The following is a 27,966-nucleotide window of genomic DNA, read 5'->3' as shown; positions in this document are numbered from 1 at the left end:
TATATACCCAGTAATGGGATGGCTGGGTCAAATGGTATTTCTAGTTCTAGATCCCTGAGGAATCGCCACACTGACTTCCACAATGGTTGAACTAGTTTACAGTCCCACCAACAGTGTAAAAGTGTTCCTATTTCTCCACATCCTCTCCAGCACCTGTTGTTTCCTGACTTTTTAATGATTGCCATTCTAACTGGTTTGAGATGGTATCTCATTGTGGTTTTGATTTGCATTTCTCTGATAGCCAGTGATGGTAAGCATTTCTTCATGTGTTTTTTGGCTGCCTATGACAAACCCACAGCCAATATCATACTGAATGGGCAAAAACTGGAAGCATTCCCTTTGAAAACTGGCACAAGACAGGGATGCCCTCTCTCACCACTCCTATTCAACATAGTGTTGGAAGTTCTGGCCAGGGCAATTAGGCAGGAGAAGGAAATAAAGGGTATTCAGTTAGGAAAAGAGGAAGTCAAATTGTCCCTGTTTGCAGATGACATGATTGTATATCTAGAAAACCCCATTGTCTCAGCCCAAAATCTCCTTAAGCTGATAAGCAACTTCAGCAAAGTCTCAGGATACAAAATCAATGTACAAAAATCACAAACATTCTTATACACCAATAACAGACAAACAGCCAAATCATGAGTGAACTCCCATTCACAATTGCTTCAAAGAGAATAAAATACCTAGGAATCCAACTTACAAGGGACGTGAAGGACCTCTTCAAGGAGAACTACAAACCACTGCTCAGTGAAATAAAAGAGGATACAAACAAATGGAAGAACATTCCATGCTCATGGGTAGGAAGAATCAATATCGTGAAAATGGCCATACTGCCCAAGGTAATTTATAGATTCAATGCCATCCCCATCAAGCTACCAATGACTTTCTTCACAGAATTGGAAAAAACTACTTTAAAGTTCATATGGCACCAAAAAAGAGCCTGCATCACCAAGTCAATCCTAAGCCAAAAGAACAAAGCTGGAGGTATCATGCTACCTGACTTCAAACTATACTACAAGGCTACAGTAACCAAAACAGCATGGTACTGGTACCAAAACAGAAATATAGATCAATGGAACAGAGCAGAGCCCTCAGAAATAACGCTGCGTATCTACAACTATCTGATCTTTGACAAACCTGAGAAAAACAAGCAATGGGGAAAGGATTCCCTATTTAATAAATGGTGCTGGGAAAACTGGCTAGCCATATGTAGAAAGCTGAAACTAGATCCCTTCCTTACACCTTATACAAAAATTAATTCAAGATGGATTAAAGATTTAAACGTTAGACCTAAAACCATAAAAACCCTAGAAGAAAACCTAGGCTTTACCATTCAGGACATAGGCATGGGCAAGGACTTCATGTCTAAAACACCGAAAGCAATGGCAACAAAAGCCAAAATTGACAAATGGGATCTAATTAAACTAAAGAGCTTCTGCACAGCAAAAGAGACTACCATCAGAGTGAACAGGCAACCCACAAAATGGGAGAAAATTTTTGCAACCTACTCATCTGACAAAGGGCTAATATCCAGAATCTACAATGAACTCAAATTTACAAGAAAAAAACAACCCCATCAAAAAGTGGGCAAAGGACATGAACAGACACTTCTCAAAAGAAGACATTTATGCACCAAAAAACACATGAAAAAATGTTCTGCTTTTCTTTCTTTCAATTTTTGGTTCATGTATTTTGGGGCTCTGTTATTGGGGGCATACACATTTAGGATTTTTATGTAGTTTAATCAGTTGATCCCTTATCACTGTGAAATTACTTTCTTTATCCCTAGTAACTGCCCTTACTCTTACATCTACTTTCTGTGATATTAATATGGTCACTTTTTATTTCTTTTGACTAGCATTAGCATGGTGTAGCTCTATCCATCCTTTTACTTTTAACCTGCCTATGTTTTTAAAGTGTACTTTTTGTAGACAGCATATCGTCGTCTTGCTTTTTATCCAGTCTAACAATCTCTGCCTTTTAACTGAACTGTTTATACCATTCACATTTAATATGGTTATTGACACAGTAGGATTAAATTTACCATTTTACTATTTTTTAATTTGCCCCAGCTGTTTGTTTCCCCTCTATATCTATTTTTATCTTTTTTGAATTGGGCATTTTTTATGATTCCATTTTATCATCTCTGATTTTTTTTATATATATATATATTTTTTTGTTTGTTTGTTTGTTTGTTTTTCTAACTGATTTTTTCTTTTTTGAGACAAGGTCTCACTGTCACCCAGGCTGAAGTACAGTAGTGAAATCATAGCTCACTGCAGCCTTGACCTCCTGGGCTCAAGTAATCCTCCTGCCTCAGCCTCCTGAGTAGCTGGGACTATAGGTGCACACCACCACGCCTGGTTAATTTAAAAAAATTTTTTTTTCTTTTAGAGATGAGGTCTCACTCTGTTGCCCAGGCTGCTCTTAAACTCCTGGTCTCAAGCAATCTGCCCACCTGGGCCTCCCAAAGTGCTGGGATTACAGGTGTGAGCCACCACGCCTGGCCCTCTGTTAATGTATTAATTATAACTCTTTGTTTTGTTATTTGAGGGATTACTTTAGGGTTTTACAACTCGTTAAGTAAAAGGGGATCATCATAAATGTATTGGAGGAGGAAGGGTTGGTCTTGCTGTGTCAGGGGTAGCAGAGGTACATCTTGACTTACCACAGTTTCTTTCTTTCTTTTTTATTTTATTCTTTACTCCTGGCAAGCTGTGACACAGTTATTTTCAAGAGATGTAATATACTACTTCATGCGTAAGAACTGTACAATTATATACCTTTTTTGCCAGTCCCAATTTTATGCAGTTGTTTTCATACATTTTATGTTCATATATGTAATAAAATTAATAATACGTTGTTATTTTTATTTAAATGACCACTTAGGTTTTAATGTGTACTTAATAAACAGTAAGCAGTCTCTTCTGTTGACCCACATTGCTGTGGCTTCTGGTTCTTCTCGCTTCTTCCTGTGGGTCCATATTTCCATCTGCTCTCATTTTCCTCTGCCTGAAGGACTTAATCTTTAACATTTCTTGTAGTACAGGTTTGCTAGTGATGAATTCTTTCCGCTTTTGTATGTCTGGAAACATCTTGATTTTAGTTTCTTTTTTTTTTGAGATGGAGTTCTGCTCTGTCACCCAGGCTGGAGTGCAATGGCGCGATCTCGGCTCACTGCAACCTCTGCCTCCCAGGTTCAAGCAATTCTCCTGCCTCAGCCTCCCAAGTAGCTGGGATTACAGGCGCCCGCCACCACACCCAGCTAATTTTTTTTGTATTTTTAGTAGAGACAGGGTTTGGCCATGTAGGCCAGATTGGTCTCAAACTCCTGACCTCAGGTGTTTTCATTAAATTTGGAAATTTTTCAACCATTATTTCTTCCAGTAATCTTTCTGGCACAGCCTCTCCCATGTGTTACCCATGATTGGGCTACTTGAGGTTGTCCCACTGTTTGCTGGTTCCCTTCCTTTCTTCCTTCTGTTTTTTCTTTTTAACTCTTTTTTTCCCTCGATGGTCCACTTGGGATGGCTTCTATAGCTGTACAGTTGACCCTTGAACAAAAACAGGTTTGAACTGTGGGATCCACTCATACACAGGTTTTCCTCTGCCTTGGCCACCCCAAAAACAGCAAGACCAACCCCTCTTCTTCCTCCTCCTCCTCAGTGTATTCAATGTGAAGACAGCAAGGATGATCTTTGTGATAATCCACTTCCACTTAATGAATAGTAAATATGTTTTTTGTTTTTTATTTTGAGTTGTCTCGCTCTGTCGCCCAGGCTGGAGTGCAGTGGCATGATCAGAGCTCATTGCAACCTCCACCTCCCGGGTTCAAGTGATTCTCCTGCCTCAGCCTCCCGAGTAGCTGGGACTACAGGCACCCGCCACCACGCCCGGCTGATATTTGTATTTTTAGTAGAGACGGGGTTTCACCATATTGGCCAGGGCGGTCTCAAACTCCTGACCTTGTGATCCGCCTGCCTCAGCCTCCCAAGGTGCTGGGATTACAGGCGTGAGCCACTGTGCCCAGACTTGTTTTCTTTTACTATGATTTTCTTAATAACATTTTCTTTTTTCTAGCTTACTTTATTATAAGAATACAGTGTTTAATAGATATAACATACACAATATGTGTTAATCAACAGTTTCTGTTATCAGTAAGGCTTCTGGTCAACAGTGTGCTATTAAAGCTGTGGGGAGTCGGAATTGACATGTGGATGTTCAGCCGCATGGAGGGTCAGCGGCCCTCATCCCCACGTTGGCCAAGGGTCAACTGCATTTCCAGGTTCATAAATCTTTTCTTCTGCGATGTTTAACCTGTTGTGAATCACATCCAGCATATTTTTTATCTCATACATTATAATTTTCATCTCCAGAAGTTTGACTTTGTTCTTTTTTCTTATTTATTTATTTATTTGTTAATTTTTTGAGACAGTCTCACTCTGTCTCCCAGGCTGGAGTGCAGTAGTACAATCTCGGCTCACTGCAACCTCCACCTCCCAGGTTCAAATGATTCTCCTGCCTCAGCCTCCCAAGTAGCTGGGATGACAGACACGTGCCACCACACCCAGCTAATTTTTTGTATTTTTAGTAGAGACGGGGTTTTGACATGTTGGCCAGGCTGGTCTCAAACTCCTGACCTCAGGTGATCTGCCAACCTTGGCCTCCCAAAGTGCTGGGATTACGGGTGTGAGTCACTGCGCCCGGCTCTTTGTTCTTGTTTATATCTTCTGTGTGTCTATTTAACTTTGGAACATGGAATACAGTTATGATCACCATGCTTGAATGTCCTCTACTGCTGATTCTAACATCCGTGTCAGTTTTGGACCGGTTTCAGTAGATGGATTTTTCTCCTTGTTATGGGCCATACTTTCCTGCATTCTTTGCATGCCTCATAATCTTTGATTGGATGCCAGACATTGTAAATTTTACCTTGTTGGGTATTGGATATTTTTGTATTCCTATAAATATTCTTGAGCTTTGTTCTGGGGCACAGTTCAGTGACTTGGAGACAGTTTAATCCTCTTGGGTCTTGCTTTTATGATTTGTTAGACAGGTCTGCTGGAGACCCGTCTGCCTCACACCAATGGTTCCCCATGACTGTGGCAAGACCCTTCTGAAAGCTTGCCCCCGCTTCCTGTGACCTCTGAGTTTTTCCAGCCTGGCTGAGGAGAACAGGCACCATGCCCAGTCCTGTGTGAGGCCCAGGTCCTGGTCCCTCTTAATTCTTCAGACGGTTCTTCCCCAGCCTCGTGGAGTTTTGTCCCAGGTGTGCTGAATGGTGCTCTGCTGAACACTCCAGGGCCTCCTGCGGGCTGCAGGGTCCTCCCTCTACTCAGGGTCCTCCCTCTACTCAGGGTCCTCTCTCTCCTCTTCGCTGCTCTGCCCTTTGAATTTTAAAACTCTGACTGTGTGCCTTGTTCCCCAGATTCTCTGCTCATTTTCCTCAACTGAGGGGTTTGTTGGGCTCTGCCTCAGTTTCCCCTCTCTGCAGCTCATCCTGCACGTTCTTTTAAGGCAGCAGCCAGGGCAATTATAGAGTCCACGCCGTTTGTTTCCTTCTTTCAAGGATCTGTCCTGAGTTGCCTGGTGTCCGGGATCCTGATATCAATTTCATTGCACTTTGTCGGCTTTCTTGGTTGTTGGAACCAGGGGTGTCAATCGATCCCAGTTACTCCATCCCCATACAGATGTCCAGCAGGCTACGCTAGTGTTTTTACATTTGACATCTTTGCTTTCCCAATCGTGTCTCCTTTGCCAGATCTTAGTAAGATGAGAGGCTGGGTTCCTGTTAACCTGTCCTCCATAGGACCTTGACCTCAGAGTCCGCATGACCAGGCCCTGGACCTGTGCCTAGTGCCAGGGGTGCAGGGCGTGATACATCATCCGTGATGATTGGGGGTAGCCCCAGGCTCTGAGGCGACCCCTCCACGGCCACCCCAAGTGGGAGCCTGCCTGGGCCCTGCTTTGTCCGAATGGCCCATGTTTGCTGAAGTCCAGTCATTTCCCACTTGAGAGCCCGTCCCAAAGCTCGGCATCCACTCTGGGGCACCGGACTGGTCTCCTTCCTCTTCTTCTTTTGTTTCCCTTTTTTTTTTTTTGAGACGGAGTCTCTCTCTGTCGCCCTGGCTGGAGTGCAGTGGCATGATCCTGGCTCACTGCAGCCTGCGCCTCCTGGGTTCAAGCGATTCTCCTGCCTCAACCTCCAAGGAGCTGGGATGATTGCAGGTGCTGCCACCACACTTGACTACTTTTTGTATTTTTAGTAGAGACAGGTTTCGCCATGTTGGCCAGGCTGGTCTCAAACTCCTGACCTCAGGAGATCCACCCGCCTCGGCCTCCCAAAGTGCTGGGATGACAGGGGTGAGCCACCACATCTGGCCTCCTTCCTCTTCCTCTTTGCTCCTCTCGGCACAGCCATCTTGCCTCCACCCACGGTGCCCAAGCCACTCCTCCCTGCTATCCAGCACTCCCACGTGGGGTCTTCTGGGTGTGGCTGAACACCCAGCTCCGCCACCTCCACCTGCCCAGCGGGGCCCAGAGCATCTGCACTCAGCAACTCAGAGGGACAGTGGTGTCCACTCCTTGGGCACAGTCCTCTGGGGGCCACCTGCAGCCTAAGGTTCCCAGGAGCAATGGGGTGCAGGATGGAGCAGCTGACTCAGCAGACACTTGGTGGGCACCAGCTGTGTGCCAGGCCCTGTGCTGGGTACCTTAGTGGAGGGGGGAGCCCATCCCCCCGGGTCAAGGTGGGAGATGGGCACGGAGAGCCTGCTATCTGCCAGGGTGATGAGGACCACCATGGAGGCCCCGGGAGCTTGTGAGTGCCAGTGCCACCCCACGCCCCTGACCAGCCCAAGGCCTGGGTGTGCCTGAGGTGAAGCCCTGAGGCTGGTCAGCAAGGAGATGCCTTCCCATAGTGTGCCAGCCCCAGGCTAGGGCAGGGGTGGAGCCAGGGGTCCCCGAGGCCTAGAGCTGGAGATTCAGGATCCAGGACCTGAGGCAAGGGGTACAGGGGTACAGGGGTATTGGGGTGAGTGTGGCCAGCACCAGAGATCCCAGGGCTGGGAAACTTCTGCAGGGCATGGGAGAGGAGCAGAGAGCCCACGGAGGGCAAGCCGGGGTCCTCAGCCCACCAGGGTCACAGCCACTGGCAAATGTGGCCCCGCTGAGTTATAAACACAGCGTCCCAGAAGCCTGCCCCGGGCCCGCGCACCCCGCTTCTGGGTGCCTGTGAGTGTTCACTGCCTGCTCCTCTCTCCTGGAAGGCGAGAGCGGCCGGGTCCTGCAGATCTCAGCGGGCGTCAGATACGTGCAGCTGTCAGCCTACTCTGAGGTCAACTTTTTCAAAGTGGACAGAGACAACCAAGAGACACTCATCCAGACCCCATTGTGAGTACGTGTGACACCAATGAGTTAGTTCTGAGTTTGTTTTGAGTTCATTTAGGTCACATTAATTCCTTGTCCTTTTTTCCCTAGAGACCTGGGCTAAGTCCTGGTTATGACAAATGAAATATTCGATGTCTGTTCTAAGGAAACAGCTCCCTTGAATTTCAGTACCTGACCCTCTGCTGTGGCCCCTCTTGCCTTCTGAGACCGCGAGCCCCTGGTCAGAGCCCCTAGTCTCCCCCAGCGCTCGGCCCCCAAGCCTCTGGGCCTGGGTCCGTGTCTGGAGTGGAGACATCAGGACTCCGGCCCTCGGGTGCTCCTGGGAGGAGGGTCGGCTGCAGAGATGCTCAGGCCTCTCTTGGTGCAGCCAGGAGGGGAGTGGCCCTTACCAGCCAGGCCTAGTTGGGCGCCACTCCCCACGCACACATCACCAGGCCTCCCAGGAACACGCTGGACCAGGCCAGTGTGTGCACAAACCCACACGCAAACAGAGGCCTGAGCTGCAGGACTCCAGGAAGAGGCCTCACTCTAAGCCCCGCAACATGAAAATCCATGCATTTTACCATTCACAGTCAGAACTTAGCAGTGCCCCAGGCGACCAGACCTGAGTGTGACGCCACAGCTCTCACACTCCCTTTTCCCACCGGCCCTTCTCCTGAGTTAAGGACTGTCTGACATTTGGGGTAAACTTGGACCCACTGTGAAGTCAGAACGCACCCGAGAGGTGACGCTGCTGGAGTTGTCATAAATAATAATGGGGGCGGCAGGCAGCTCTTCCTTCAAGCCAAGACCTGCTGTCTTCTCCCTGGCGAGTCTTTTTTCTCTCTGGGCCTCAACTGGCCCCATCCCAGCAGGAGACCTCCCAGAGAGGCTGAGTAGCGCTCCCTGGACTCAGTGTAGGCAAGTCCCAGGGTCCAGGGCGTGGGCCACGCTGTCTGCCTGCACCCTAGTTTGGTGTGGGGTGAGTAGAGCCAAGCTGCCCCCATTCCTTTGCAGTGGGTTCGAATGCATCCCTTATCCTGTGTCCAGCCCCGCAGCTGGGGTGCCGGGGCCCAGAGCTGCCAAGGGAGGGGCAGAAGCCGACGTGCCCCTGCCCAGGGGAGACCTGGAGCTGCATTTGGGTGCCCTCCATGGCCAGGAGGACACCCCTGGTGGCCTGCTTGGTAAGTGGAGCTCACAAACCAGTTGGGGGTGGGTGGGCCCAGGCCCAGCAGTCAAGGTGGGGGTGGGGTCATGGGGACCCAGAACCAGGCCAGAGCAGGAGCAAGCCGCACCCAGGGTCAGTCATCACGCGTGGGTGAAAGGAGGCAGGGCCGGGCAGCCCACATCCCCAGACAAGCAGTCACGGGTGGCTGCGGAGGCTCAAGCCGATTGTTCGTCTGCCGTGAGCCTGGCAGGGGCTGCAGCCTCGTGGGGTCCTCAGGGCAGAGTTCTGGGTCTACTTGGCTGAGGGCAGCAGACTCACCCAGGCCTCGAGGCCAGTGGCCAGCCTGGACACGGCCCCAGCCACTCCTGCCGCCCGGGAGCCCTCACAGCAGCCGCCGGCCATGGCTCTGGGGGCCGCGGCGCCGACTGCTCTCTCGAGGTCAGGGTTTCCCGCTGCTCCGCTTCTGCACGGGTTGCCTCACGTTTCTTCGTGGAGATGAGGCCCAGGTGCTCCGGCAGAACCCCCCAGCCCCCAACTCTGCCCCCCAAGGCTGGGGCCAGTGAGAACTGCACTTCCATAGAATGTGCGGCCTAGACTTCACAGGGATCATTCCAGAGTTACTCATGGAGTTGAATCAAAGCTTAATCCCTCCGGTGCAGCGAGCAGTGCACATCAAACCCTCCTGTGCAGTGAGCAGTGTGTGCGATTCAAACCCTCCCGCGCAGCACAGTGTGCGTCTCAGTGCCGGACTGAGGGAACAGTCTTGACAGCGTTGGGAGGCCCTGGGGTGCTGCCGGCCACCGGGTCCTTCTTGCCACAGCCCTGCACCCCAAGGCTCAGTAAACGGGGGTCGGGCGTGGGGGTCCCCACTGGACAAATGCCTGGCACTTTGAGTTTGGGGGCCTTTGAAGAGGGCCCAGCTGACAGCTGAGGTTCCCGGTCCCCAAAGCTGGGATCTGAGCCTGAGGTGCTGCTTGGGGAGGACACAGGCCGCAGGTTCCTGGGTTGAGGAGCACAGGGCAGATCTGAGAGGCTGTGCTGAGCCCAGATCCACAACTTAGCAGGGGTGGGCTGTGTGCCACCACCTTCCACATGCAGATAAATGTCCCAGGTTTGACGAGACGTCCCTGGTCATCCCCAAATGCGCCTCATATGCCAGCCCTTGTCACCTGCCTTGGCCGATGCGAGCTCAATCCCTGCCATGTCCCTGCCCAGCCCTTCCCACCACATGCAGCCCCAAGTCCCCTGAAGGCCTCTCCCCAGGATTTGCACAGATGGCACCACCAGGCGGCCGTCGCGCCGCCTCCCCAAGTGCCAAGGCCTCTCTACTCTAGACCTGAGCCCCACCTGCCGCCCCTGAGTCCTCACAATCCCCCGACCTGGCTGCCGCACTGGGGTGATCCCCCAACTCCAACCCTCCAGGCCCCTGGGGCAAGCAGGCAGGGCCAGCCCCTTCCCAAGCCGGAGTCCGGTGAGCCTTGGCCTGGACCCCCCTTTCCTGTCCCTTAAGCCAGCCTAGCAGGCCCCAAAGCCTCCCTCACATCTTCCTGCCCAGGGTGTGCCTGTCCCAAGGGTGCCGCAGACCCCAGCCCGGCCAGCCACACTGCCTTGTGAGCTCAGCTCAGCTCTGGGCTCTCCTGCAGTGAGACAGGGCTGAGGGCTGAGGGGCGTGGTTGGCAGGCTGTGCCAGGGCCCTTTCTCCCGGGCACTGTGTGGCCTGTGACCCTCCTGGTCACTGTCTGCAGCAGTCCCTCTCAGCGGCCAGCACTCCTGGCCGGTCACTCGGCCCCGAGTTCTCCCTAAGGTTCCGTGACTCACATGGCTGAAGTGGGAGAAAGCGGCAGCGGAATGCCCCTGGCCGCCCTGGGAAGAGCCTCCGCCACCAGGGCCACCTCCATGCCCGTGCCCCTGCCCCCAGAAACCTCACCCAGCTGGTGGCTAGAAGCCCCAGAGCCTCAGAGCCTCGGGGGTCTGTGCTTGCAGGGAGCTCACTCTTCTAGGATCAGACGAGTCTCCTTCCAGACAACAGCTGTGAGAGGACCAGCAAGCGCAGGCGTCATTCATCATATAAAAGAGCATGCAGGCATCCCAGGTGGGGCAGCAGGGCCCGGCGCCACTCCACGGGAGGCCAAGGCGGCCAAGCCTCAGGCCAACAGGCCCACGGGGGGCCCGGCCCGCGCCCCCTTGTCTGCCTTCACCTCAGTTGATAGAAGCAGTTCCACACCGCATAGGTGGAATAGCTCTCATATTTCTGCATAAAAATACTTACTGGGCGCCATGCCTTCTACTTGGAGAGATTTTCAGAGCCAAAGTCTCGATTGAAACCAGCCTCGTGCCTGCATCGCACCCTACCCCGCGCGGGCCCCCCGCGCCGGCCCCACTGCCTGAGTCTGGGGCGGATCCTACCTGGGGGGCCTCCCCCGACTCTCAGCCCGGCTCAGGCTGTTTCTGGCTTGACGATGATGTGAGTGTCCAGCCGTAAATTCTCCAGCACAAAAGATATTTCCCTTGGGAAACCTAGAGGAACGTGCTTTTGTTTTTGTAAGACCCGCTGGGGCTTGAACCACAGACATTTGGAGTTGGGTGCCGAGCTCTGCCTGGGCCTCACGGGTGCATCCGACACCAACCCTGGGAGGCTGGGCTGCTGCTTTCACTCTGATGTGAAGCTAAACCTCTCTGTGCCTCAGTTTCCTCATCCATAAAGGGAGGGCAACAGCAGCGTCCACCCCAAGGACGGATGACTGAGTGCGCATGCTGGCCTCCACCCAGGCCTGTGCAGGGGGCGCCCCGGAGGAGAGGAGCGTGGCCTGGGGTCTGGTGCAGTCAAGTCCACACTGAGAAGAGGAGGGGGAGGCCAGGGTCAGGGAGGGGCACTCCCGTAGGCTTCTACTTTCTTTCTGTCACCCAGGCTGGAGTGCAGTGGCGTGATCTCGGCTCATCGCAGCCTCCACCTCCCGGGCTCAGGTGATCCTCCCACCTCAGCCTCCGGAGTAGCTGGAACCACAGGCACGAGCCACCGTGCCCGGCTAATATTTTGTATTTTTTTGTAGAGACAGGGCCTCGCCATGTTGCCCAGGCTGGTCTCAAACTCCTGAGTTCAAGCAGTCCTCCCGCCTCAGCCTCCCAACGTGCTGGGATTACAGGCTGCTTTTACTTTCCTTTTCTTAAAACTGTATAACCCCTCACGAGAAGGGGCTGGTTGGGCAGGTTTCCCCAGAGCACGGTCGGCAGGGTCCTTGCTTTGTCTGTCTCCTGTCTCAGCGACTGGGCCAAGGACCCAGCAGGACTAACCCTAACACCTCGCCCGACTAATTTTTGTATTTTTAGTAGAGATGGGGTTTCGCCGTGTTGGCCAGGATGGTCTCGAACTCCTGACCTCACGTGATCTGCTCGCCTTGGCCCCTCAAAGTGCTGGGATCACAGGCGTGAGCCACCATGCCCGGCCTCTTTAGTCTTTATCTTCCCTTCTTTACGTAATCCGTAATCCCATTTAGGACTGATTTATCGGGCTTGCTGCTTCCCAACCATGATCCATGAATTGTTACCCTTCATTCCATGCAGGAGTTGACACAAACTTTTCTTCCCAATTCCCATCTCCCATTGAAAGTCTGCCCCCAACATGTGGCCTTCACAGCACCCTGGGACATGGTGGGGACATGTGGCCTCCCTGCCCCGGGACAGCAGGGTGCTGGGCAGAGGGCCTCTCTCGGTACCTGGAGCCCTGCCAGGCCCCCACCACAGCCCTCAGGCCCCTAGGGGATCGGGGACTCCGGCCAGGAGCCCTGCAGAGGAAACGGAATCATTTCTAAGTTTCAGTTCCAGCCAGGACAGCATTCATCCCCAAGTAGGAGAAAACTAAAGTAATCATGGCTTCAGCAAGAGTATTCCTGGCCGGGAGGCCCAGAGGTGTCAGCCTCACTGTCAGGAACACAGCTCTGTCTACCTGGACCCACCAGCATCACCCCGAGGTCGGAGGCAGCTCCCGGAGACCCTCTCTCAGTCAGCAACCCCTGCTCAGGCCTGGAAGGGTGGGCCAGTTCCAGACAGGCTCAGGCCCAGCTGCACGGAGGCCCTAGAATCAAGCAAGACCTCACAACCAGCCAGCAGGGACAGGGGGGCCGGCTTTAGCCATCATCCTGAAAGAAAACAAAAGGGTGGCGTTCTGAGGCTGTCCAGCGTGTCCAGGGAAAATACACTAGGAATCATTTCCTTGTAAGCATGAACTTCGCATTCTCAAAAAAACGAAACCGAAGTCCCTTGCTCACATTTGTCCCTGGCCCAGTCACAGCGCTGCCTGCTTGGCTCCCAGACAGGCGTCCTTCCCTCTGGCCAGACCCATGCAAAGAGGTGGGCCCCGTTGAAGCCTCTGGCCTGGCCTGCAGTGCGTCCTGGGACCGCAGGCAGCTGTGCTGGTCCCAGCCTCAAGTTTCCACCTCTGTGCTTACCTGGGAGAGGGCTGGGGGCCATGGGACGCAGGGTGTCTCTTGAGACTCCTGCCCCGTGGCTGCAGAGACCGCACCTGCAGAAACCTGCCCGCCTGGCACCGACCGTGACACGCCCTCCAGCCACCAAGCAGGATCTCCTACCCAGACAGCCACTCACCTACAGGGCACAGACATCAGGCCAGAGAGCTTCAGGCCAGAAGATAATCCAACATGAGGCCTGAAAGAAACTTGGGCCAGAAAATCTCCAGGGTACCTGCCCGCCGAAGTCCCTTCCGAGGACTCTCCTGAGCCAGTGGCTGAGACATGCACATCCATGGTGGAAGCTCCAGGTCTGGGCAGCCCTCTCCCTGCAGTCACAGACTATGCCCACTAGGAACACCCACCTGGGACAAAGCCTGGCCACAGTCAGAGAGCAGGACGGCTCTCACCAAGCCCCTCAGGTGGCTCCCCGCCGCTGACCCTGTGCTGCGTGGCACAGGCTTCCCCAACGCCCTGCCACATTTGGCTTCCTCCAAGCAGGCTATGTGCTTAGGATGAGATGTGGCTACTTTTAGCAAACAACACTAGAGTGGCTTCAGCCCAGCCACGGTGACTTCTCGCTCCCATAAGAGCTCAAGAGGGAGAGGTGATCTCCCTCCCCAGCCACTGGGGACCCCAGTTCCTGTTGCCTATTCTGCCACTGTCATCTTCCTGCACCACCTCATGGTCCTGGATGGCTGCACAGGCTCTAGCCGTCATGCCCCTATTCCAGCTAGGAGAAAGGGGGAAGCATAAGTGGCAAGGAGAAGCACCCTCCCCTTCTTCTTTTTTTTTTAATTGCTCTATACATTTATTATTAGCTATTATTAATGCAGAACCAGGGGACAAAAAGCTCACAAACACTCTACACAATTTCACAAGACACATTGCAGGGGAAAAAGTGACTGAGATGGATCAACAGTATGCTAGGGTCTTGGTGGACTCATTCCTAGGGGAGGTGGACCTCTAATTCCTGGTGGAGGGGGTCTCATTCCTGGAGGGGGCATGCCTACTGGTGTCCCTCGAGCAGAGGGAAGCCCAATTGGTGGGCCCGTGGGTGGCCTCATACCAGGTTCAGAAGCTCCAAGTTTAACTGTGGACATTGGATCTGGGGGAACGGCAGTCGTGACCGTGGGCAAGAGTAGCAAGATGCTGCCACACACGGACCACAGAATGAGACGTATCCTACAAGATGGCCGAGTCTTCATTGGCACCTTCAAGGCTTTTGACAAGCATATGAATATGATCCCCTGTGATTGTGATGAGTTCAGAAAGATGAAACTAAAGAATGCGAAGCAACCAGCACGTGAAGAAAAGCGGGTTTCGGGCCCCTCCGCTTCTAAAGAAGCTTGCTGGGGGCGCCACACTCACTGCCATTGCTCAGAGCTTGGTTACACGGCCCGGCCACACCAGGCCACACAGAGACAAGAAGCGCAATGTGCTGGCAAAGACTCTTACCGGAGGAGAAGGGGAGAATGGCTGTCTTTGCCAAATAGCCCGTCACGAACGTACCCCTGCTGGGCCCCCGCAAGTGCACCAACCGACTCGAAAGTCCCAGAGAGGGCTGGCGGGCAAGGACCTGAGTCTCCAGCCACCCCTGCAGGAGGAGCCCAGGGACCCTCGCATCCCTGATAAGGAAGCAGGTGGCGTGCCCTGCTGTGACCCCGAAACAGCCTGTAGTCTCACCCTCCATTTCCACGAGACTCTAAGTCTGCCGCTTTTGCAGCAAAAGCCCAGTGCTGGGGGTGAGCGTGTGGGGAGTGTGGGAGACGGGCTCTGACCCGGCCACCCTGGGCAGCTGTGCTCACGCAGCACCCCCGCCGTTCCCAGCTGGACTTCACCTGGCAGGACAGCCAACAGGCCTCACCGTGGCCTCCGTCCCGGGGGTCGTGCATGGGGGACTGGGCCAGCCCGAGCAGTGGGACATGCTGCCTTCCTACCCTGCTCCACCTGCCACAAACACAAACTGGAATGTTCTCAGCCACCTCCAGACTTCACACCCTTTGGGCTTTGGGGCACAGAGGTCGGGCTGCCCTGGGGAGAGGAGGGAGAGAAGGAGGCTTCGAGAGAGCACGGACATGAGTCAGACCTGAAATAAAGCAAAGCCACACCGCCTCACGTTTTAAAGCAATTGCCAATGTCTCAGCGTGTTCTGAAGCTCAGGGCGACAGCCGGGGGCGGATAAACACCTGCCACAGATGCCCAGCATGCCCGTGCCACCCCCGTGCCACCCCTGAGGTCTCTGGACTGAAGGAAGCAGAAGGCCCTGGAGGGCACCTCCTGCTGGGCCAGGGCCACTGGGGTCTCCCAGGAGCACCTCCAGCCCTGCCCCCCATGCCCAGATTGTGGGGAGCACAGGGCTCGCTCCACTGTCCATGGAAGAGGCTGGAAATTCAGCCCAGCCATCCCCACCCCAGGGACAGGCCTCCCAGGAGCTCACACTCAACCCCCACAAACTGACGTGGACTTGGGGTCCCAGGCATCTTTCCTCCCAGACCCGAGAGCAGCCAGAAACAAACCCTCCAGAAACCTGCCTTTCACTGGTACAAATAAATCGACAAAGAGGGCAAATCCTTTCTCTTTCTGGAGGCCTAATGTCAGTGATACATAATTGCACATCACAGTATTTTATTATTTTGTTGATATGAAATATTTCAGTTGTTTAGTTGTTTTTAACTTTCAAATAAGGATTTGCATTTCGTTGAGAAGAAAAGATGATTTCCAAGACATGGACTATTGCCAGATATTCTAAACCCTATTTTGGTTAAATTACAGCACCCAGATTTTAGTAACAAAGCACATTGATTTTATATTCAAAGCATTTTTATATTTAGTCTCTTAACCTTTTGTAATTCCCACCCACAGCTTGCAGTGCAGAACCCTTTTGTGTCCCTTGTTGTCAGTGGGGTGCCTGCCTGGGCCCAATAATTTGGGCCATTGAGTTGGAGTGCAGGTGCTGCCCATGGCGGGTGTACATTGTCAGGCCGGCTGGGCCCCAGCGCCTCAAACAATCCCCTGTGAATTGGATTTGGGAACGTAGAGAGGCCGCAGCCGTGAGAGGACGTCAGGTTGCTTTTCTTTTCTTCTTTTTTTTCATGCACAAAACCCTCCCAGTGAATATTTTCAACGGATCTGAGTGGTTTCTCTTACACGTGTTGGACAAATGGTTTTGAGTATTCATCAGATGGGATCTATGAAGAATCAATCGTGATTGTAAGATGATTTGAAAAATCAAGTTGCCCTCTGCCACTAATTCAATCTTGCCCGTAAAAGTGTCTGAATGTGCAGCAGAGAATTTCAGGGAATTTCATTGCCTCGTGGGGTGATAACAGCTTTAAATATTAATTGTCTATGGTTAATTATGGCAGAGTAGCATGAAAGAGCCATATTTTTAAAGGAATGTTTGTGCTATAAATTCTTTTTCTAGGAATCACATCATATAGAGGGACTGTCCCAGAAAAATACAGTATAAAAAGATATCATGTTGCTTCCAATGCCAGAACAGTAGATGAAAATGGAAATGAACTCAGACTTCGGGATGTGCGTGTGGCTAAAACTAAGCAGGGATGTCAGAGGGGCCGGGACTGGGAGCAAGGCTAATTCTCTGCCTTCAGGCAGCCTTGTGGGTGCTGAGGGGCTCTTTGGTCGGCAGGCGGGTGGAGCACCCCTCCCTTGGGGTTAAGCAGCCTCCTTGGAGGTGGCTGCTCTTTTGGGTAAAAGCTTAAGCTTTCAGGTTCCCTCCTCCTCCACAGGTCCTTTTCTCTTCTCTGAGGTTCTTTCCTGTTCTTCCCTCCCCTTCCCGCCTGGAACAATTCAGTCCCAAAGCCATCAAGTCCTGCCAAGTGGGGTGGCCAGCGGGGTCTCCGAGCCCCTGCTCTGGGCGTTGGGCCCAATGGAGCAGGGAAGCCCCCAAGCACAGGGCCTGAGGGGGTGATGGAGGCAGCATCCATGGGGTGTCCCTGTGCTGAGGGGTGCAGCAGGGCCTGTGGACACAAAGAAGTGGGGACAAGAAGGAACCCGTGGGCTGGCACTCAGGGGTGTGGACTGGGGGTTTGCATCATAGAAAGTGAACCTGTGCGTTTGTGTGCATGTCTGCGTACACATGGCTGTGTGTGCGTGCACATGACTGTGCGTGCCCGCGCAGGTGTGCGTGTGCGTGCGTGTGTGTGCGTGCCCGCGCAGGAGTGCGTGTGCGTGCGTGTGTGTGCGTGCCTGCGCAGGTGTGCGTGTGTGTGCGTGCCCGCGCAGGTGTGCGTGTGCGTGCCCGCGCAGGTGTGCGTGTGCGTGCGTGTGTGTGCGTGCCTGCGCAGGTGTGCGTGTGCGTGCGTGTGTGCGTGCCTGCGCAGGTGCGTGTGTGCGTGCGTGCCTGCCTAGGTGCACGTATGTGCGCATGCGTGTGTGTGCACTCTCCGGCTCTGGCAGGGCCCGTGGGCAGCGGCTCCCCAGCAGGCAGGAGCGGACACAGTACCCAGGTGCGCGTCTGAAAAGAACCGGGGTTCCCTGGAGAAGCGGCGGATCCAGGCTGGGGCAGGATGGAGGCACTTCCCCCATGGAGGGCAGAGGGAGGAGGAGTCAGCTCCCCACGGAGACGCGCCACCAGCCTCACGGTGGACTCCACTGGTTCTGGGTCAGTGAAAATCCTGCCCCACCTGGCAGCGTGGGCTGAGCAGAGCCATCCATGAAAGGCATGAGCGTCGCATCCATGCCTCTCCTGCCAAAGATGCGTAACCCGGGTCTCTCTGTGATGAGACCTCAGACACGGCCACACGGGGGAACCTTCCCTGAAAGGCCTGGCCTGGAAGCTTCGAAGACGCCAGGACCATGGCAGTCAGGGAAAGGCCCGGGAATGTTCCAGACCGACGGAGACTGAAGACACAATGAGAGCTCGCTGCAATGTGTGGTCCCAGGCTGATCTCCTTCCTGCGAGGGACATCACTGGGCCACGGGGAAGCCCAGGCTGGGGTCTGACCCCGAGGCGTGCCCTGCCCCGGGACGGCTGTGCTGGGTTACGTGAGGCGAAAAACTTCCCGGTTTGTAAAATGCACTCGAGGATGTGGAGTGAGGAGCAAATTCAGCAGCGGACTTTCAGATGGCCCAGCGAAAACATTCTTTGTACTCTACCTGTGACTTTTCTGTAAATGTTTGATTAAACATTTACCCCAAAATGTAAAATACCTGTGCACCCGGCACGCAGGGTGGCAGGGGGGTGACGGGGGCAGCGGGGGCCGAGCAGGAGCCTCAAGGCTGCAGCAGCCGTGCAGTCCACCTCCCTGTCCCGCAGTCAGAACCTAACCCTGAGGCCACTGGGAGCATCGCACGGGCAGCCACGGTGGGGAGGACACCTGCGTGGCCCCGTCCCCCCTGCACCGAGACTATGGGGCCAGCAGCTGGCCTGGTGGTTCTAAGTCATCTGGGGCCTGTCCAGCAATGGCCTAGACCCCTGAGGTCATGGGGTGTGTGGGCCTGGGGGCGCCTCTGCAGATGCCAGGGTCTCAGCCACTCGGGATCCTCCTCCCTGGTGTCCCCTGGAGACAGCCTGTGCCTGACCAGTGCCCTCCATGGAGTGCCCCATACCCTGCTTCGGGATGGGTGATCGGGGGTAGGGGGCAGCCGCAGCCACACAGCACACACACGGGCCATCTGCCACCTGCAGCTGGGGATGGAGCCTTCGTGGCACATTAGATTCTTTCCTTTCTAGAGGCGCTTTGGCACTGGCACACAGTCGCAGCCTCTGAACAGACTCAGACTGGCCACCAGCTGCCCCAAGGGGACGTGTCCCCTGCCACTCTAAGTGGGAAACCACCTCCCCCAGCAAAGCTGTGTGGGGGCGGCATCCCAGGTCCTGGGGCCATGGGGCCAAGAGTGCAGCTGGGTAGGGTGCTTTGAGTTCCCCATCTCCCAAGAGCTCCCCATCTCCCAAGAAGTTCCCCATCTCCCAAGAGTCCCCATGTCCCAAGAAGCTCCCTATCTCCCAAGAAGGACCCAGGAGTCCCTCTCCTAGGAGGAAGGGAGCACCCACACCAGTCCAGCCCTGGCCAGCGGGACGGTGGCCTTCAGGGCTAGTGGGAGCTGGGCCGGGGGTGGGCAGGGAGAGCTGGGCCCCACCCAGACTAGGAGGACAGCTCCTGCTCCCCAGGGCAGACCCCAGCAGGGGTGACCGGCAGGAGCCTCGGTACTCGGACCGGCTGGGGGCTGGAACACCCTGAGGGGCTGAGGATGCACCCAAACACCCTTCTTAGGTCGAGATGGGGGAAGGAGAAGGGGGTGCTTTTTTGTCTTTTCCTTTAAAATTTATCTCAGGGTGGGCGCGGTGGCTCACGCCTGTAATCCCAGCACTTTGGGAGGTCAAGGCGGGTGGATCACCTGAGGTCAGGAAATCAAGACCAGCCTGGGCAACATGGCAAAACCCCATCCCTACTAAAAATACAAAAATTAGCCAGGTGTGGTGGCGGGCGCCTGTAATCCCAGCTACTCAGGAGGCTGAGGCAGAAGAATCGCTTGAACCAGGGAGTCGGAGGTTGCAGTGAGCCGAGAATGCGCCACGGCACTCCATCCTGGGCGACAGAGCGAGACTTTGTCTCAAAAAATAAAATATACATAAAAACAAAATAAAATGTATCTCGAGGCCAGGTGAGGTCCCTGTAATCCTCAAACTCCTGGGCTCAAGTGATCCTCCTGCCTCAGCCTCCCAGCACTTGGGAACCTTCCGGGGCCTTTCCCTGACTGCGGGCACCCTGGCGTCTGTGAAGCTTTCAGGCCAGGCCTTTCAGGGAAGGTTCCCTGGTGGCTTTGTCTGAGGAAGGTTCCCTGGTGGCTTTGTCTGAGGAAGGTTCCTGGTGGCTTTGTGTGAGGAAGGTTCCCTGGTGGCTTTGTCTGAGGAAGGTTCCTGGTGGCTTTGTCTGAGGAAGGTTCCCTGGTGGCTTTGTCTGAGGAAGGTTCCTGGTGGCTTTGTCTGAGGAAGGTTCCTGGTGGCTTTGTCTGAGGAAGGTTCCTGGTGGCTTTGTCTGAGGTCTCATCACAGATGCAGGCTGCATCTTTGGCAGACGTGGAAAAGGGGAGACAAGATAGAACCCATGGGCCTGGGGCGTGTGAGCTCGGGGTGTGCGTCATAGAGATAAGAGCAAACATCTGTGTGTGTGTGTGTGTGTGTGTGTGGCCGCATACATGTGGCTGTGTGTGTGCTCTTGCTTTCCCCTGGCAGGGCCTGTGAACAGTGACTCTGCTGGCGTGAGCTTGGCTGGCATGGGCACCCAGGCACCTGGGGTCAGAGCTGCTCACCGCAGCCTGGCCCTAGGCCCTCAGGGCACAGTTTCTGTTCCTCGAGGAGACCCTGGGACACAGAGCCCCTATGTTGCCGGCTAGGGTGCCTTCGTCTCCGTCTCTGGTCAGTAGCAATGCTGCCGGCAGCCTGTGTCCACTGGCGAGGGGCAGGTGCTGGGACTGGCCCTCTGAGCGGCCTGAGGGTCCGGCTGGCAGGGCAGGGGGTCCCCCGGTGCAGAGCCTGGCCCTTGTTGTTCAGAGCCACGTAGGGTGAGCCCGAGGCTCTCCAAGGAGGACGGAGGCAAGACAAGTGCCCCGAATTGTCCTGTGTCCCCCAACAAGGCCGGCCCATGCCTGGCCGCCAACAGGGAGCAGTGGGGGAGTGCGTGGCTGCTGCCCCAGCGGGTGGTAGGTGGCAGGTGTCCAGGCCTGGCCCTGGCCTGGTGGAAGGAATGGCTTGGAGGTGCCGGGGCACAGACAGACCCTGAGTGTGGCAGCCTGGGGACCGCCCATGCCTGTGCGAGGGTGCGGGCACATGTGGCCATCCATGAGCGCAGGTGAGCACACGTGGACCCTCGCGGGGGCTGACGTTGTCTTCGGGGCACATGTGGCCATCCATGAGCGTAGAGCGTGAGCACGCGTGGACCCTCCTGGAGGCTGACACTGTCTTCGGGGCACATATGGTCATCTATGAGTGCTGTGAGCACGCGTGGACCCTCCCGGAGGCTGACGCCGTTTTCAGGGTGTGTGTGGCCATCCATGAGCGCAGAGTGTGAGCATGCGTGGACCCTCGCGGGGGCTGACGCTGTCTTTGATGCTCTCGCTTTGTGCCAACAGAGAGACGGTCATGCTCCCTCTGGCAGAATTCTGCATTCGGGGACTTGGCATTTGCTGCTGGAAGGTGGAGGTGGCCCCCAAGGTCCTCCATGGCCAGCTTCAGCCCTGCCCCCAGGCTCTGCAGGCAGCTGTTGTGGCTCGTAGAGCCTGTGAGTTGGCACAGCGCTCCCCCTTTCCCTTCCCACTGGGGCGGCCGGGCCCCATCTGTGCAGCGCAGGGACGAGGCCCCCAGGGAAGGAGGCCGGAGCAGGCCAGGGTCCTCACGCTTGCCCTGAGAGGCCAGCAGGGACCAGTGTGTCCTTTGCACAGCCCGGCCCACACGGGACCCCCCTCCAGAGGAACTGCCGTCTGTGCGGTCCCCGCTCCTGGCCTCCTCAGCAGCATCGGCCTTGGGGCTCCTGCACCCCACACCCCGTCCCCCAGGCCTTTCCCAGACCCCACACATGCTCCTGGTCGCTGGGCCTTCCTGCCACCCCAATAGTGAGAATGTGGCCCTGTGGGGGACGCTCGGAGCCAGCTCGCCGCACCACCTTGTCGAGTGTGCTCACCGGAGCTTCTGGGGAGCAGCTGCCTGGCTTCAGAACCATGTCTCAACCTGCCCTGCAGATCCCTCCCAGGCCCGCCAGCCCCTTGTGCCTGGCCACGCCCAGCCCTCAGGTGATGCCGCTCTCGCAAGAAGGGCCCCTAAGGCCGCCTGAGGGCAGTGCCCCTGGACATCCTCCTCAGCCGTGGCTGTGGGGACTCACATTCTCTGCTTTGTAGGGCATTTGTGGCCTGATTCTGGTGGGTCTGGACCAGGCCCTCCCACACTCCTTTCTCTCCTGCTCCAGATGGGAAAGAAGGCCGATGGCCGGGAAGGAGGTCCCAGGGAAGTTGTCCCACCCCCACCCCACCCTGCCCCTGGCCCCAGCCCCAGGCCCAGTCCCGCCTCAGTCACCCCCACAGCTGGCAGCAGGGGAGGCCTACGGGAATCCCGCCCAGCAGACATGGGACCACGGTTTCCTCCATTCTCTTCCGGAAGAATGGGGCCGTGGATTGTTCATCGTTTTGCTAAAAGAAGTCCAAACCCCAAGCCAGAGGCGGGTGCCATGGTGTTTAGAAGCCTGGGGAGGCAGCCAGTCCCCGGGAAAGCTGGCCTCTGCGGCTGTGCGTCCTCCTGCCACCCTGTGAAGCTGCTTCCAAGGCTCCGCGAGGCCTCTGTCTATCTGAGAGCCCAGGACAGCTGTGGCAGGGTGGCTCCTGGCCTGTCCTCCCCAGGAAAGCTTCAGAACAGCTCGTGGGAATGCAGTGGAGGTGAGGAGAACCCTGAGGACAGCAGCCGCAGGGAGCCCCGGACCTTGGCCAGGCCCCCAGGCCCGAGTCTCAGTCCTCGAGGGGCCACTGCTGCTCAGCACAGCACCCCCAGAGGATCAGGAGCAAGATGAGGGGCCTGCCCCACACCCGCCTGGCTGGAACGGCACCCGCCTGGCCCCGGCAGGGCTGGTGCCCCGCAGCGTCATCCCCAGGGCCCGGCGGCTCTGTCACAGGGCCCAGCGGCTCTGGCAGCTACACAGACAGCTTTGTGGGGGGCTCCTGGAGGCGAGGAGCGGGCGGGCACGGAGAGAGCCCAGAGCAGTCCTGTCTTGGCAGCTTTACCAGCAGAGGTGCCCGCAGGTCCCAGAGGCAGGTCTGAAGGCAGCAGTGGAGAAACGTCAGCATCATGCTTGCCAAATACGCAGGAGCAGCCACGACGGCCCAGGCCCCAGGAGCTCTGGAGTGTCTTTTATTTTCTGAACGTTCAGGAAGGATGGAGGCTACTGGAGATGGAGGCTTAGGGTCAAGCGCATTTTCTATGCCTCAGGAAAGGCAGGGGAGCTGGCGCGGGGCCACGCCCGTGATCCCAGCACTTTGGGAGGCTGAGGCGGGAGGATTGCTTGAACTCAGGAGTTCAAGGCCAGCCTGGGCCACAAAGGGAGGCCCCATCTCTATGATTAAAATAAAATAAAATAAAATAAAATAAAATAAAATAAAATAAAATAAATAAAATAAAATAAAATAAAATAAAATATAAAATAAAATAAAATATTTAAAAAGGCAAAGGAAAGGCCAGCCCAGGTCCCTTCTCGGTGACAGTGCTAGGGCCCATGCTGGCTCTGCTGAGGGAGGCCAGGCACAGTGCTGGCCCAGCCTACACCTCCTCGTGGATCTTGGGTGGCTTGGGTCAGCAGAGCCATGTCTGCGGTGTGGGAGGTGAGAAGGGTGAGGGAGGTGAGGACGAAGCCCGGGGCTGGGGACAGCAGGGGAGTCCGAGAGGCCCCCCATGTGTCTTGTGTGCCCCCGCGTGTTCCCGCTGACTTCTCCAGGCCCCACCCTGCGTCTCTAATGAGCCGCGCTTCTCGGCTGACTGATGGACTCTTAAAGACTAATGCCCTGTGTCTGGTCACCTCCAAACGAGACTGTTCTCGTCCCCTTAGGGCCAATAACGTTTTATGTTTTTAATCCACTTAAACGAAGTCAACGTTTCTGCTTCGGCCTGCCCTCCCCCTGGCCAGGTCCTGCGCCTGCCGCGGCTATTCTTGGGGCTGGCCTGGCCCGAGCAGCCTTGTTGATTCGGGCAGCATCCCTGCCTGCTGCCTGGTGCCCTACACAGGTGACTAGGGAGTCTAATTGAGTCCGCCGTAAAAAGATAATGAATTGGAATTTCCCTCCAGAGCGGTCAAGCTGCCCGATCCCGTCCCGGGCTGGCTCAGCCTCTCGGTTCCCGAGGCCCCCGAGGTCGTACGGTGACCTTTATCTTGCTTATAAAGCTGTAACTGATGTCATTAAAACTGGCATAAAGGCTTGGAAGGCACTCCTGAGAGCTGGGGAGGGGCATGCCTGCCAGGAGGTGACAAGCATGGCCTTGGCTCGGGAAGTGCCCCAGACACTGCCGGGGACCCTCACTCTCCATCACGAATGGTTCCTCTGGGGCCCGTGGAGCCCAGAGTTTGATGAGCTGACACATCCATCACAGAATGTGTCTCCCTGAGCCTTGGAGTGAGGCCCACTCGGGCTGGCGGGCACCACTCAGACGGGGAAGAGAGGATCTCCACTGACGGTGGGCGCTGCGCTGTCCGAAGGTGTCTCTGCACCTCGGCTTTTCTGAGTTTAATGCCTTTGGGGGGCACTTGCCATCAGACTTTTAGCCTTTTCTTTTTCTTTTTTTTTTTTTTTTTTCTTGAGACGGAGTCTCGCTCTGTGGCCAGGCTGGAGTGCAATGGAGCGATCTTGGCTCACAGTAACCTCTGCCTCCCGTGTTCAAGCGATTCTCGTGCCTCAGCCTCCCGAGTAGCTGGGATTACAGGCACCTGCCACCACACCTGGCTAATTTTTGTATTTTTAGTAGAGACGGGGTTTCACTATGTTGGCCAGGATGATCTCAATCTCCTGACCTCCTGATCCGCCTGCTTTGGCCTCCCGAAGTGCTGGGACAGGCATGAGCCACCACGCCCGGCCCCTTTTAGCCTTTTCTTTTCAGTGGTTTGGCCTAATGGGAGCAAGTTTGCAGACGGGGGCATGAGCAGGGTGATGCCCAGGAAGGGGGTGATGTTGGGGGGCAGGTACACTGTGACCAGCAAGTTGGCTCGGCCAGGCACCTGGCCATCGCACGGTCAGCAGCATGCCCAGGACCAGTTGGGGACCGCTGGGGACAAGACAGGGAAGTGTGCTCTGCTGGGGACAGATCCACAAAGGGGAAGCTGGGCAGCAGGCAACAGGTGGGACACAGCAGGGCTGGGAGAGGCTCCGTCGGGAGGAGCCACCAGACCGAGGTGGTGTGGGGACCGGGACAGAAGGGCAAGGCCAGCCTGCACCAGACGAGTAGCAGTGCCAGGGCCAGAGGGGCCGGGTGGAGACGTGCAAGGAGGAGAGGACCGTAGGACAGCCCGCGTCGTGGTCTCGTGGCTGGTATCACGGTCTGCACTATGGGCCCCATGTTTTGGCTTGTGTGGCAGCCCTTGCCATGGCCTATGTGGCCGTCTGTGTGGCGGCCACAGGTCGTGGCCTTTGTATGGTAGCCTGTGTGGCAGCCTCACATCATGGCCTGTGTGGCAGCCTGTATGGCGGCCCTCATCGTGCCCTGCGTGGTGGCCTGTGTGGCGGCCCTCGCCGTGGCCTGTGTGGCAGTCTGGTGTCCTGTGTGGTGGCCCGTCGTGGCCTGTGTGGTGGCCTATGCTCACAATGCAGGAAAAGCCTCTGGCCACGTGGAGCCGGTGAGTGACAAGGTCCACCTGCTGCCTTGAGTCCTCCATGTGCTGGACACAAGCAGTGGGCGACAGGACCAGGGGTGCTGGAGGCCTAGGGACCCACTGCAGTCCTCCGAGCCACAGATGATGGCCCAGACCCCAGGACTGCAGCCAAGGAGGTGCCCACAAGGAGGATCCGAGAAGTTTGGGGAGACTTGTGTGGGTGGAGGGGTGTCATGGAGCGAGGGGAGGAGTCAGTGGCCAGGGGCAGGGCAGGCCCCTCAGCAAGGGGAGGCTGAGCTGGAGGAGGGACTCAGGTCTGCTCTGGTGTCTGCAGGGAGTGGGATGCGCAGGACACAGCATGAGGGGGCTGCTGGCCGCCAGGGCTGGGTGTGTGGCCCCTGAGGAGGCAGGTGAGAGGTCATCTGGCTGAACGTGGTGCTTGTGTCCATGGGAAGCGAGGTGACCACCCAAAGAGGGGTGTGAACAGAGGAGGGGCAAGCCTACCCCAGGGACAGCAGCCTCCGAGGTCTCCCGGAGGGCCCAGGGGCAGGAGGAAACAGGGCCTGTGGGGACAGTGGCCATCTGTAGCCGATGACACCGGGGGACAAGTGGGGGCTCAGGCCAGGGCCACCCTGATGTCAGCGGCAGAGCCCAGGCGCAGCCTTGGAAAACCTGCGTCTTCAGCAAACACGGAGAAGCCGCGCGGCGGAGGCGCCTGTGTCTGCACAGAGGGTGCCCTGAGCAGGAGCGGCCGAGGGATTCCAAGCCGTGCTCCACGGGGAGCAGCCCCGCAGGACACTTTGGCTGGGCCTTCCCGTGCCCTCGTTTTCTTTAGGGGATGCGCAAGCTTGTGTGGTGTTTCTGGCCCAGCATCAGGCCGGGGCCAGGCTGGGCTGAGCTCCGGGCCCTCGGCAAGGGAGGGACTGACCTGGCTTCCGTGTGAGGGTCCCGTGTAAACAATGGACTGAAGGGCGAGGGGGACCCAGGAGTTAGGCTGCAGCTGAGGGCAGTGCCAGCGACTCGGTGGGAGACACTGGGGCCTGGCGGGGGTGTGGCAGGGCAGTGGGGAGCCTTGGGGGTCCAGGTACAGATATGTTTTGAAGGCAGCTTTGATGTCAGCCTTGTTGCTGCAGCTGCAGAAATTGTGGGTGCACAGGATATGGTGCAGGGGCAACGAGGCTGACCCCCAACTTTCAGCTTGAGCACCTGGCGGGTGCGGTGCCGGCCTCGGGAAAGGCGGTCACAGCCAGGACCCAGGGGCCGCTGCGGTCAGCCTGCAGCCCCGACTCAGGGAGTGCATGGCAGAGGTGGACCGCTGTCTCTCATGGTCAGGCAGTCCCCACCGTGTGGCAGCAGAAACGCCCCCTCCGTGGACCCGTGCCATGCGGCGGTAAGAGCCTGAGGGAGGGGGAGGTGACATCCAGAAGAAAGACACACGGTGTGGGCTCCTGGTCCAGATGCGCTGGGATCTAGAAGGCTCCTCTGAGGCCAAGGCTGGGGACGACCCTCCCCTTCCGCTTTTCACCATTTCTCGTTTCTCTCGCTTGCAACAAAAAGCGTCTTGGCCAACCCGGAGGGCCTCCTCTTCACTCTTGGACAGGGACCGCACAGAGGAGAGCTTCTGCCTGCACCTCCAGGGGACCCCACGTGTCAAACCCACACAGGCTCAAGGAACCCGGCTTTATAGGCCCTGGTGTCCTCTGTCCTCTTCCTGCTGAACTGAAAGCCGTTAATTTCTGTTTGTGCTGCGCAGGGAGGGCTCCCTTTACCTGGCTGAGCCTCGGCTGCTGATCAGCCAGGGACAGTCACGACAGCCTTTACTCTGAGGAGAGCAGGGATGTCGTGAGAACCTGCCTGAAGGTGCCTGGCACCAGCCATTGTGATCACCAGGCAAAGGAGGCTCTTCAAACAGCTTGGTCAGAACCCCCAAGCCTCAGCGATGCAGACACCCTCCAGGCTCCATGTGGATATATGTTTATTTGCACGCCAGGAATGCCTGCTGGGCTTCTAAAAATACCTTTTCTAAACTCCCACCTTGCCCCTGCAAATGGCACGTGGCAGGTGGAGGTCTGAAGCCCCCGCCACCGTGTGAACCATGTGTACTTGGGGCTCGGGATCTGGGCCCACTCTGGAGCGGTCACCTTGCCGAGGGTGAGGGTGTCCGCATGATTAGGATACAGAGCTGGTGTCTTTATTGTCCAGGGGGTGTCGATAAAAGACGCAGTCCAAGTTAGCTCCAGTGCAGTCCACGTGGAAACCATCGGTGCGTTAAGAAATGGAAATTATGCCGTCAGCAGTGCAGCTCCCAGCCATTGCCCCGGACGTAAATAGTGCCGGGCCAGCAAAAGCTGCTGGGAGAAGGATGTCAGTTAAAGAGTGTCCTTGCAGAAGGGAAGACTTTCTCTCTATAATGCACCATAATGATTAAATTAAGACACCTCTGAGAGAGATAATTCTCCCACCTGTAATTTGGAAATATTTCTGAGGCTGGCTCTCCCTAGCGTCTCTGTCGCTCCCTACAGAAGCTGGGCTCCGGGAAAGGGACATTAATGCCTCCAGCCCCAAGGTCCTATCCAGCGCCCCTCCACTCACTCAGAGCCCCACAGAGGGGGCTGCCCCGGGGCCCCATGTGAGGGTCCCGCCTCCTGGGCTCTGGCCTCAAATG

At 56.0% G+C, this 27,966-nt stretch overlaps 1 protein-coding gene and 1 pseudogene across 3 annotated transcripts in view; both read left to right on the top strand.

Annotated features, from left to right (window-relative positions):
- Nucleotides 1-27,966, top strand: part of MORN1 (MORN repeat containing 1) — a 70,302-nt gene that overhangs the window by 25,571 nt on the left and 16,765 nt on the right. Inside the window, exons 9-11 of one of the 2 annotated variants that reach the window (NM_001301060.2) lie at nt 7,269-7,392; nt 8,386-8,552; nt 10,520-10,829. In NM_001301060.2, the coding sequence (NP_001287989.1) occupies nt 7,269-7,392; nt 8,386-8,552; nt 10,520-10,536 (308 nt within the window). In that variant the 3' untranslated portion in view covers nt 10,537-10,829. Of the gene's footprint in view, nt 1-7,268; nt 7,393-8,385; nt 8,553-10,519; nt 10,830-27,966 lie in introns of those variants that run through there. The other variant, NM_024848.3, reaches the window with a different exon arrangement.
- Nucleotides 13,323-15,570, top strand: LOC100129534 (small nuclear ribonucleoprotein polypeptide N pseudogene; annotated as a pseudogene). The gene has a single exon (NR_024489.1). The product of NR_024489.1 is annotated as a small nuclear ribonucleoprotein polypeptide N pseudogene (transcript).

The sequence above is a fragment of the Homo sapiens genome, chromosome 1 (genome assembly GCF_000001405.40).
Source record: "Homo sapiens chromosome 1, GRCh38.p14 Primary Assembly".
Classification (NCBI taxonomy): Eukaryota; Metazoa; Chordata; class Mammalia; order Primates; family Hominidae; genus Homo; species Homo sapiens.
Note: the sequence above shows the minus strand (reverse complement) of the source record. Positions and strands in the feature narration are given on the sequence as shown.